Source organism: Homo sapiens, chromosome 14 (assembly GCF_000001405.40).
Source record: "Homo sapiens chromosome 14, GRCh38.p14 Primary Assembly".
Lineage (NCBI taxonomy): Eukaryota > Metazoa > Chordata > Mammalia > Primates > Hominidae > Homo > Homo sapiens.
In genome coordinates this window covers 25825819-25838828 of record NC_000014.9, presented here as the reverse complement: position 1 = coordinate 25838828, position 13010 = coordinate 25825819, and the positions used below count along the sequence as shown (strand labels likewise).

At 37.0% G+C, this 13010-nt stretch overlaps 1 long non-coding RNA gene across 1 annotated transcript; it reads left to right on the top strand.

Annotated features, from left to right (window-relative positions):
• The first annotated feature begins 296 nt into the window (after positions 1 to 296).
• LINC02306 (long intergenic non-protein coding RNA 2306) lies at positions 297 to 5821 on the top strand. The gene is made up of 3 exons (XR_001750924.2): positions 297 to 369; positions 1618 to 1700; positions 2855 to 5821. It is a non-coding gene; the product is annotated as a long intergenic non-protein coding RNA 2306 (long non-coding RNA).
• Positions 5822 to 13010: the final 7189 nt, after the last annotated feature.

The following is a 13010-nucleotide window of genomic DNA, read 5'->3' as shown; positions in this document are numbered from 1 at the left end:
GTTCGTATTTCTGGAGCATCCCCACTCTTTCTTTTCCACCTGCCCCATCCAATAGAATATAAGTTATCCTTCTGTGAGTTATGAAGCAACTTTCCTACTCACTGAGGAAAAGTAAGATACTGGGGAGATGAGCAAGTGCTGATAAGAGAGATGAAGATCAGCTTTGCACCCCAGAATGATCTGACTAGGAAGTTAAACTTGCTGTCTAATGGCATTCTATCTCTTTTCTCATGTTTGTTTCTTCCTGTTCAAGATCTATTTTTCTTCTGTTGGTAACAGTGGTCTATTTTTCTTTTAGAGAACTACTCCACCATCATCTGATGTGGTTCTGATGGCTGTGTGTTTCTCAGCTTTATCCTCAGCCTGTGGGTAAGTCCAAGACTCATGGAAAACCAATTAGACTATCTTTTCTTGGCATTTAGAAATATTGAAGAAAAATAATATATGCCTGGGAAATGATTGGTGCAAAGTCACTCCCTGGTGTAATGCCCCTTCATTTGGGTATTTGGGGAAACCTTGGCTCTCACCTTCCCACAGCCTACTTATAGTCCTTTCTTCAATTCGCTTTTCTTCCCAATATTCCTGCAATAAGTTCCTTATCTCTCTATGCTGTACATTCTAGTTCATTATGTTCATATTAGGTAGCTTAAGTCTCTTCCAGATGTCACTCGATCCAAGGAGCTCTTCTTGTTCAGAGAAAGGTTAGGAAATGCATTTTGAAGTACACTTGGGAGACAAAGGGCAGGGCCCTGGGTCCCCGTTTGGCTAGGTATAAGAAAAAAACAAGGCAATTCAGACTATTTGAAGGTCTCTTTTAATTGAAAGTTTATTTGTGGCATCTCTGTTTTAAAGAAATGGGTTGTGAAAGCAGAAATCTCCCTTGACAACATAGGGACTTCTTTAGAGGTTGTGACACGTCCCTGTTCATGAATCCAACTGCTACTGCAGGAAGATGGATTTCATTTGCCCCAGCCTCTCTCTCTTTTCTGGTAGATAATGTAGAACTTTCAGGAGTTTCCTTTAGTTTCTGGGGCCTTGGTTCTTGAACAAAGAGATTCCATTATCTTCTACTCTTTCTTCAGCCTTGTCTACAAGTCATTTGTTACATTACAGCATTTCCTGAAATTTAGCAAATTCTTGAAAAGAAAGATTTAATCTTCTCAGGAGAAGCTGGGGAAGATTTATAGACGCCTATTCTTAACATGTCAAAATGTGGCTTGGCTGCTAAATTTACTGGGACCGCCTACACAGCTGAGGATTTCTGTGACTCTGCTGGAAATAATGGCTTTAGGAGGTAACCAAACAGCATTAGAGAAAAACATTTGAGAGAAAACAGATTTTTATGTTGCAGAAGTATTTCTTGTTTTATAAAAGAGCATTACATTTTTAAGAGCTCATTAAGTTGTTTTCCTTTATGTTCGACCCCAAATTAGAGTTTGGATTTCTTAATTTTCTCTTCTAAAATCATCTGCAAGGTATTGGTAACTTGAGTTTCCAAGTCTTCAAATGCCATACAAAATGAAAGCATTAATTCTTAGGTATTATTATGGAATGAATTGAATTCTGTTAGGTAGCCTTTTATAATACTTATTTTTTTTATGTGCTTGATCATTACAGGTAATTTAAAATAAATACTTTTGCAAGTGAACCAATAGAAATATTTCACTGTCATTGGGCAGAAAGCTAAAAACCTAATTACGGTATGTATTGAACAATTTTTGTGTTAGTTTCTTCACTCTTTCCATATCTTTGTTCACTTTATTTAACATCCACCATTTCTCCCCTCACATAGTCATACACTGGCATTTTTTTCTTCATTTCATTGAAGAAAATGATACTCTGTTACACAAATCTGCTCCCTATTTCTTTTGAAACTGTATTCAGTCAGTCCCCATAGAAAGAATAGGTAATGAAATTCTATCTCTCAAGTGTATGTAGACATATCAATCACTTTAAGTGGAAACAATCATTCCTCTGCCATTTGGAGCCAACATCTTTGAACAAAGCAGCAGCACCATTGCTTTCTGTTGCTAAAAATAGTTTTTCCATAAAATGCTAAGGTTTACCTTCCAACCACATGCCACAGAGGTCAAGAAAAGCAGATTTCCTGATAACATTTGATTTGAGCAAAGGGAGTGATAAAAGATGCGTTCTGTAATCTGGATTCAAAGCCGACTGAAGACGTGGAGTCCAGTGAAGATAATCGAGCAGACCTGTGCTGTCACCCTGCTACCATTCCATGATCTCTGCCCTGGGTTGGTCAGGAAGTACAAAGACTTATAATTCTTTTCCATGTTGTTGATAGTCAATACTCCAAACTGTAACATCTCCTATACAATTCAGCATCTTTTCTCCCTCCTAAATAAGCAAAAAAGATTTTGGATTTGTGATGCCACCTTTTCCTCAAGAATCATTATACACGTTTGCTTTTTGTTTTGATTTCAGTGCTTTAGGAAGCTGGCACCAGGAGATACAGAAAATAAGGCACCTGACCTCCTTTATTGCAACTGCCCCCATCCTGCATGCCTCCCCTACCTGCCATAAACTTAAAAATCCACGCATATTTAAAATGCTGCTGGCTAAAAGCATGTTGCTGATGGATTAGAGAAATACCACGTTAGCACAACACATTCTAGTTAAAATGAGGTGCTGCTGTCTCTACCCAGGGCATTGCTGCTGTGAAGCAAAACAGCTCTCACTTCCAATCCCCAGATACAGAGCAGTATCAATGCAGAAATATTAAAGAGAAAATTAATAATTTATTTCAAAAATTCATTTGCAGCTGCACTTCAGTGAATTAATTACTTTTTGTCTTTCTCCTCTTATTCATCCCTCTCTCTTGCTAATGATCAAGTTGGAAGTAGGAAGAGGAAGTAAGTATGGTTGGAAGAGGTGGAGTCTGGTGCTGCCAGAGCAGAAAGCACAAAGAAGAACGTGCTTTTAGGTGGGTGCCCTAAGAGACATGATAAGTGAAAAAGGGTAAGTTAAACTTAATCCTATTTCTTTACACCAAAAGCAATAGAAAACCACATTACTATGTTATAAGTTCTACTTAGTATTTTAGAGGAGAGAAAAATTAAAATCCAGCAAGCAAAATCTCAAGTTATTAAAAAGATTAATCTGTTGTTTATCACTATATCATCTATGCAATTCACTTCCCTGTATGTTCATTAAAATAGACCAGACCACACAGACACAGCAATTGTATAATTTTGCTTAAGTGTCACGCGGAGCTCGTGTACTGACTTCCAGAAGGGTTGGGGTGGACACAGTAATTTTTGCATAACACTTGCTTATCACAACTTTCCAGATGACTCTATGGTGACATTATGGCAAGGTTCAAATCCATAGCCATTTAAATCATTTTCTGAGCTAGAATAGAAAAATCAGTCCGAGAAATTTCATCTACCATATCCCAGACTGAGGCAAAGCAGATGCTTTCTTCCATATTTAAAACACTCACAAAACAGGAAGATAGTTTCCATCATGCCAGTTCAAGCTACCATGTTAAAGCAAGCAAAAAGTTGTGCTTTTTAATATACCTTATTCTAAGTAGCTGGTTTAATGGGAGAAATAACCTTTGTACTAATGAGATTTTGAAAAAAACAAATGAATGTAAAAGCAAACACTGAATCTTCTCTAATACTCTTGTTGCTCTGGCACAGGATCCATAGCCATTTGGGTACCAAATGATCCCCTCAGGGATAAACAATTTCCATGGGTGCAATTGGATGTTCTGGTATGTGTATCAGCAGAAAGGGGGAATAAAGTTAAGGAAGAAGACGGAGAGAAATCAGTGTTTAATTTTATCCAAAAGATAAGAGACAGAGGAAGAAAAAGAAGTACAGAGAGGAAGGGTATCAAGAACCAATGCTGATGGTGTCAGAGGCAGATACTCCTCTGTTCTGTTCAGTGAAACTATCATGAGAGCCCATTGACTCTTCTGTAAGAATTTGTATAGTTTGCACCATGACACCGTGCCTCAGACTGTCTTAATGACTCATTGTCCCTGTTTTGACACAACCTAACGTGATCAGGAGCTCATCAGCTAACTCAAAATTTGTTTTCTGAAGGTTGAAATGAGACACCATCTAAAGGTGTACTTGCTATAGTCTCACCTCTGAGTAAGGAAACAAATGCTTTGTGACTTTGTGTCTTTCAGTACTATACGATTTGGGATACTATAGCTCAATGTACCATTATAGCTCTTTCCATGGATTTCTAAAATATGCCTAACGAGTAACCAACTTAATCAATCCCAAGTATCTTGGTGGAAAAGATTTCCCCTCCCAACATCAAAAACCCTTCAGATAAGATGAGTGCATAATAAGGCCAATGTTTATTTATGTAGCTGTTGTAACTTAAAAGAGATCTGAAGGAAACATTTATTCAGTATCATCAAGCCACTAATAACTTCCATGCACTCAATATACTGGTCCATTGGCTATGAATGCATTCTTACTTTTACAGCTTCCCTAGAAATTCTTTATCTGAAAATTTACCAAAAAGCAACTCATCGTATCATACAGTAAGAAACTAAAAATCTATATCTAAGACATATTGTTGCTGTTTCGAACAAACCTGGAATATAATTTGATAATTCAATGAAAATTTGTTTGTTTCATATTGTGTATGTTAAAAGAAGTAGCATTAACTGGAATCATCAATCAAAAAATTTCCCCAACATCTCCCGGCAAGTGATTGCAACAGCAGCTGGAAATTTGGTAGACATCTTTCCTTCCTAATTCCTTCAGCAAGAACATTTAGAACGCTGTAATGATTGGCTCTAAGGAATCTTGTGTTTATGAAAAACTATCCTGCTTCTGCCTTATGCATTCAAATTTGTCTCCAACCAGACTCTTTGTACGCCCTGAAAGCTCCCAGAGGCTTTTGACTACGTAGTACTGCCCCCATGTGGGCCAAGGGTGTCAATCGTACAAGGAGCACCTGCATTGCATTTTTGACATTAGCAGAGGGAGGTAAAAACTATGATTTTTTTGGTAGTTTTTATCCTATACATTGATTTGAATTTTCAAGGGAAATAAACTTTTCCAGTCTCAGAGTTAGTCATAAAAAGTAGCTGGGTTAAGATGCCTGGAAATAAAGAACAGAGGAGAAGGGATAGGAAAATCTAGGCCAATGTTCTCTCTCACCTGGGATTCTTGTTTTTCTCCGCCCAGAAGGTCAAATCTCAGATGAATTAGTATGCAGATCACATACACAGCAACTACAGTTCCAGACTAGGGAATGTGCTAATTGGCTCACCCGCCCGAAGTACCGGGGTACCAGTCGTCTGACACATAGCCTCTGAGGGAAGCAGGACTTAATGCAGGACACAATGTTCTCACCACTCTGCACTGTCCCCTATCCCTGCTTCTAGCAAGCAGCCTGGCCATACGCAGCGATGGCTGGAGCACTTTCATAATTATTCCTGCTTCGTAGACTAATGTGTACACTTGGGATTTTAAAATGCTATCTAATTCAGAAGAAATTAAAATTAAAGCCAGTGTCCCTCCAGGCTCCTTTCCCCATACATTTCTCCTGTAGTGTTCCAAACAGTGCTCTAAATAGCATCATGCATAAAAAGGTAGGTTAGAAACTCGGCATTGGTGGTGCTAACACCCTTTAAATCTGTCATAGCATTGAGAATATGGTTAAAGCTAGTCCCTTACCAGACAGTACAATACAAGAAACAACTCTTTTGCTAGTCCTCAAAGAAGTTAAATAATTAAAACCCCTTTTCTAATTCCTTTATGATTAGAGAAAATACCTTATAAATAAATGAGTAAATAAATAGCATCTCAAATATGAAGATTACTTGGTTACTTGTTTGTAACTCCTTTCACTATTGGCCTCATCATTCCGACTCATGAACTGTTTTGCTCTCTTCTGGGATTGTTTCCTAAAGAGGTGGGATGCTTCAGAGAAGAAACATAGAATTTCCTAAGTGTTAGCACCCGTCTTGTTCCAGGAAGCAATGATATGCTTAGAGCTCTCTTTGAACAGGGAGCTGTCTGAATCATATGGTATCCATGTTGCTGATGCAATAGGATCAGGAAAAACGACAGCCGTCAGTTGTTGATTAAGTCTGTTAAGTTATCCAGGCTAATGAGGTGGAGGCTTTTCATGCTTCCCCTGCCTAATGTCTCTCATTAAATGTACACTTATCAAATATTCAGAAAATTGTGGTAGTCATAATAGTGGTAATAATAGCCACATGATGACAATGGTGAAAAAAGAAAGCATCCTTGAATGGAAGAGGTTTCATTTTGCTGAAGCAAATCAAAAGAGGTTGTAGTACTGCTGTGAGCTGTGTGCAGAGTACATGAGACTATCTAGATGTTCCTTTGCTTTATCATGTTTTTAATAAACTAAAGGTAATTAGCTAGATTTCCTGGGATTACTTGGACACACAAAAGTACAACAAATTTTTAGGCAACACAAATACTTCTCCTGATTTGAGTTTGCATTTTGACCTGAAACTAGCAAAGCAAAGCTAATTCTCAACATTGCAATTTACATTCTACTTCAGTTTCTTATTTATGTTAGTTCAATTTTAGATCAAATGCCCTTGTGGAGCCACCTTATATTAAAAAGACTATTCAGCCTCAACTGAATTAGACTATTTTTTGTTTGCTTGGTTAGTTGGTTGGTGGGTTTTGCTTTGTTTTTTACAGGTTTGCAGCTGAAAATTTTTTCTTGCTTGTATTTTTCAACTTTTATGTTTGTCAGAGCCTCTAAGTCTGGGTCAGGATGAGATGTGAAGATGTCAGAAAATTCAAGGAACCTTCTATTTTGTAGACTCAAAAGGATTTGATAATAATATGAATTGTCAGTTTTGCTCATCACTCAGTTCTAAAAATCTATACTCAAAACCTTTCATGATTGTCTTATCTCTCAGTAGCATCAAACATAATAAAATCAAAATAAACTTCTGATGAAAATCAGGTTTCAAAATTTTACCGGAAGTTTCTTTTCTGTTTGATTCTTTTTGATCAGCACCAGATATACCAGAAACAAACAAGTTTCTCCAAAATCTCATTTTGTTTTAGCAATACTCCTAGCAAGAAAAAAAAGACAAATATGGAAATGATGCTGTTCAGGTTTTTCTTCTGTCACCTCTATTAATAAGTTCATAAAAACAATACTAATATTAATATTGGCCTTATTAATTTTCCAAATTAAAAATAACATAGTTAATACAATAGACTCAGCTTTTGAATTTGTGGTGATCTTTCTCTGGTATTAGGAAATTTTGCATCCCTGACAGTTCAGTAGCACTACTTTCTCTTTTGTCTTAAGTCTAATGTAAGTCTAACGGGCTCATTTAGGCTTGTAATGAACAGTTTAGGATTTTTCCTCTCGGGTTCCCAATCTTGGTAGGTGACAGTAGTTTGTTTGCATTTGCCTTATGTATTTGATGCTACACAGTAGTGAAATGCAATCCTTTGCTGTCTATACAATTATTATGATGCCTTTGCAACATGATGTGCTCACTGACACAAGTTTACCTTCCTTTGCCCCAGGCTTGCAACCTGGTGGCATTTGAATGTACCTGTTCCAAAGAAAGTATTGGTCTTATGACAGTTTTGTGATGTGAAATAAGCTGAAAGTAGGCTCAACTGACCCGACTATAACAACATACCTCAGTCTAGAGACTCTTCTAGCTACTGATGATTGCTTTTCTCATATTTGGAAAAGGCTATGACATGGCCAAGAGAAAGAGAGAGAAATGTCTTTGACCAAGTCTCTGAACTATAGAACTTGTCAGAGACTTTTTTTCTTTTGTCCTGAAAAGGAAAGCAGAATATCAGAAATATATTTTTGATACTTTATTAGTTTGATACTTTATTAAGTCCCAGCTAATGTTGTCGATGAAACAGCAACAGTAGCATTTCCAAAATTTCTGTTTTGGAAAAGATTATGGGTAGCAATTTGATTGGGAGAGATAATTAAAGAATTGCAATCATATGGTTTTTACTTAGAGTGTATGATTGTATACCTATTCAGGAATAATAATGGATAGCCTGAAGGGGATTATGGACAATGGCAAAAATCTTCCATCCCTACTTCTTGGCACCCCTCTGCATATTCACTGCTAGTTTGATGGAACAATTTGGAAGTTTACTGTTTGTTAACGGTTTCTATATTTTATGACATATAATATGTAGAGTAACATAAAACTAGATAGTAATGAGGAATATCCATTTAAATTAACCTACCTAATGAAAACAAACCAAACAAAATATTTATTGTATGCCAGTGGCTTCCATTCCTGTTTCTTCATGAGATCCAAATTAGTGCTCTTAAGTCTAATTGCCAAAGCAGCTTCCATTGTCTGGGCCCATATGCCAGAATGAACTGCCATTTACATTGGACCAAGAAAGCAGTAAGCACGTTGGGCAAATTTGACACAAATATGCCAGCTACTGTTGATATAGGAGCAGAAATAGTGCATAAGCTTTCCTTGAAACAAAGAATAAACTAAAAACCAATCACTGAGTACATCAGTTTCTCATCCCTGCTGAGGTGCCACAAGGCCCTGAGATTCTTCCTTACAAAGCCACCCACCAGAGAGAAAAAAAGAAAAGAAGAAAAATAACAATTCTAATGTTGAGAAAAAGAAGTCAAGGGCAGACTCTAATACTTTCCTTATGTTCTCTCCGGAGCTCTGTGGAGAATATTCTGTGCTGGTAATTGCTCCTAATCAACTGGATGGAAGAGAAAGCAAAAATAAGAACAACCCATGCCTATATATTTAGTATACGCTTAATTCTTCTCTAACATAGATGACATCTAGGAGAATCCTAGAAAAGGTTTTACCAGACATTTCTTTTCACCTATCACACAGTTCTAATCGTTCTTTTCTTGGAGTGCTTTTAATACTTTCCCTGAAAATATGTAGCAGCATAATACTCTGTTATTATGGTATAATTGGTCTAGCAAGATTTAATATTCTCTATAGCTCAATCATCACCAAGCTCTAGCCATGCTAGAAAATAGACTTTGAATAAGTAGAACTGTCTCAGCTAACTCACCCTACCTGGCAATAGGAAATCACCGTAGGATTGTGATAATCTTTGAAACCTAGTACTTTGGGCAGGGTAAATATTGGGCTCATACATGATGCATACTCATGCAAGGACTCATAGTGTGTCTCCCTCAATTGTAACTGAGTTACAAAGTTGTCTTGACTTTGTATATTGGAATAAAATGGACTAATATTCATTACAAATAAACTGTACCCCAAACAGTTCTTAGAATAGATACTTCCAAAGAGCTGACAGAACAGAGCACTATTATTTTTACATTATGTGCCCTCCTTATCCAAGGATAAGGCAATACCCTAGACCTAACATTTACGACAGCCCCTAAAATAGCCACCAAGAAACTGTGTATTTAATTCTTAGTCTTTCAATATTTTTTAAATGTTTTTCAGGCATAAGCTAGAGTTACTCATTCTTGCCTCCTTCCATATTGCTTGGATCAATGAAGACAATTATCTTAGCAGCAAATTAATGTTAATTTCACTACACAAAATTTTGAATAAAATTGAACAAGAGTAGCGATACACATAAAAGCCACATCTTAGGCTCATGGGCTATGCACGTATTTTTTTAGTTGACATAAATCTTGGAAAAATTTCCTTGTATAGCTGTGATCAGTAAATTATAACACTCCTGAAGGACTCAGCTAGGTTTTTTGCATCCCTATAATTTCAGATGACAGAATATCTGACTAGTAGTAGGTACTCAATAAATACTCGATTAAAAAATTAAGCCAATGGGACATTGTAACCTATGTTTTGTCTCTTAATGTAACACCATATCTTGCAGAATTTCAACAATTAGTCATATCCACGGAGTATATAATAAGCTAGCTAGTTCTTCAACACTGACTTGGAAAAAGCTAACTTATTTCATTCGTTTTTACCCTAGACATGTTTCACAGCGTGATCTATATGTAACCCTTTTAAAGGAAACCGGTCTTCTCAAGTCTCTTCAGAAGCTAAAAGGATATTTATAAAAGAAATGATGATATACCTCAAACCATGGGTATGGAACCGGAAATAGCAATTTGACCACAGAAGTTTTTTCACAACTCATATACTACTACCCAATGATCTAGGATCCATGTGGCCTCACAAAATATATGAGAATAGCCACTCATAGTGTCAATCTTTAGAACCTGAATGAAAAGAAAAAAAAAATATGGTGAGAAGAGGAAATGACAGAGGAGCACACAATGGTGATGGTGGTGAGGACAGAGATGTGGTAGCTGCAATCTATTAATGGTAAATCACTAAAAGAAGACCCTAAAACTCCTAAAATGCTTAAATGACCTTGAGTTTGGATCCATTTCCTTGAGGGCCAGTCCTATTACTGATCATCTACTTAGATATCTATGAAAGCCCACTACTGAAACCACTCCATATGTATTCTTTTTTTTTTTTTTTTTTTTTTTGAGACGGAGTCTTGCTCTGTCGCCCAGGCTGGAGTGCAGTGGCGCAATCTCGGCTCACTGCAAGCTCCGCCTCCCGGGTTCAAGCTATTCTCCTGCCTCAGCCTCCTGAGTAGCTGGGACTATGGGCGCCTGCCACCACGCCTGGCTAATTTTTTGTATTTTTAGTAGAGACGGGGTTTCACCGTGTTAGCCAGGATGGTCTTGATCTCCTGACCTCGTGATCCACCCGTCTCGGCCTCCCAAAGTGCTGAGATTACAGGCGTGAGCCACCGCGCCTGGCCCTCCATATGTATTCTTAAGCTGGCTTTTCTTTAGCTAGCTTAAGTAATACTTTATTCCTCATAATCAAATAATCCTAGTGAAAAGTACTTGGAGTATTTTCACATTTGTGAGTAAGTTAAAGATGTTTTGTTTTTTGCATTACTTAGCCCTCTTCTCTCAAAGGATGATTAAGGGAGATGAAGGGAAAAACAAGGAAGGAAGGATACTAGAAAGTTAGGTAAGGTCTTACTAGTCTTCCAGAATCCGGGACAGACCTTCACTGATAACCGTAGGCTTCCTTCTGCTTATTGGATGGATGTAATAATTAGCATCAATATTCTGTGTATCTGAGATGAGCTGTATAGACTGGGAAGTCTTATAAAGGCTAGGTCACAAGATAAATCTAGGAAAAACTTAATAGATACTTCTTAATCTGTAATGTCAATAAGAATAATCTGAAAGTCACATTAGAAGTGCAAATTCTTATTCAATAGATGTAAACTAGGGCCTAAGATTCTACATTTTCACAAGCTTCCATGTAATTTCAGTGCTGCTGATCTGTCCAATACATTTTGAGTAGCAAGAATGAAGGGACCCTTTATATAATTACACAACCATTCTCATTTATTCTCTGCAGGATAGTAAAATAGAAGATGACCATTGAAACCAGACAAATTCACCATTTCCAAGCTGTGTGGCTTTGAACAACTCATTTAGCCTATCAACATTTTTGTTTCCTCATTTGTAAAATGGTGAGGATAATATTTATCTTGCAGAATTCTAAAAATTAAATGTTATGAAATATGTAAATTTCACAATAGCTCCTAAGCAAGTGGTATTTATTTTTCAATTTATTCACTATGTTAATTAGCATTTATTGAACAGTATGCAATTTTCTAAAATAAATGCTGGAGAGGAAGAAATACATGATCTCTGCTCTAAAGAGTTTATAAACCAATAAAAGTAAAAAATTGTCTACAGGGTTATATCTTGTGACATATAATAAAAAAACGCCATAGAGAAAAACAAAATGCTTTGGAGTTTTAAAAAAGGCAGGTTGACAGAGAGGAAGGAGAAAAAGGTGGAAAAATCAGAGAATGTTTCAAAAAGGAGGCTGCATTTCAACTAAATCTGTATTGTTGGATAACAGTTCATCAAACAGAAAAGATGGGGGCTATCATTTCAAGTAAAGGAAGAAGCTTGTAGAAATCATGGTATGTGAAAACTGTGGCTTTTTAATGATACCTCCAGAATTTCAATGTGGCAAAACTAGGTTGAATTGGGAGGAGGCAAGGAAGACAAAGCTAGCTGCATTTAAAAGCAAAGGCCTTGTATGACATGCTGGGATCCTGGGACAGTCTGCACCTCCTAATATAGCTTTCATCACACCTTATTTACAATTAAAAACTAGCTCATGTATAAGTCTGCAACTCTAAGATAAAAGTGTCTGGTCCATAATAGGTACCCAATGAGTTCTTGTTGACAGAATAAATGCATAAATATTAAGGGGAGAGAGTTCTTGGGGAAGGGGGAAAAAGGCCTAAAATCATATTCCACAGACGGATCCCATAGACAGCTGCCTGCTCTGCTTATCCTGCAGTGACTTTAGCCCATGTGGGGGCTCTAGCATAAATATATGTCTTAGAGCAACACCAAGCATTTTTTATTTGGCATGATTGTTACATTATATAACAGAAACAACCATCCCATTATACAATCTATTGCATGCATTCCATTTGGCCTCCCTGTGATGATTCAATACCTTAGTGGTGCTTAAGATGGTAAAGGTTGAGAGAAACTATTATACTCTAAGCAGATTGAGATCATCAGATGAAAACTATGGTGTGTCACAATGCACCCACCATCGCTTGTAACACAAAGTTCAGTAATATAGCTTGCAGCTACTGGTTGATTAGAACAGCTTTCTAGACCAGGACTTCTGCTTTCCTAACACACAGAAGCACAAGGCTGCTTGTTTTCCTGAAGAAGCAGAATGGCACAGTCTCCAGTGAACAATATGATTTCGATATAGAAAGCCTGCTTACATCTCACTTCATTTTCATTCTGTCTATTGATTTCTTCAGGATTGTGCACATATTGGAATATCTTTATTGAATCCCCCAGGCATTCCAAGTAAACATAAACAGAATAATTAGGAATAATAGTAAAAGAATAATTGTAAAGCAGAGCATGTCCTCATATTATATTAGAAACAGAAACCTTGGATTTATCAGATGGAACTATTTTAGGGCTGGCTTTAGGCAGAATTAAGCAGGAAAAGCTCA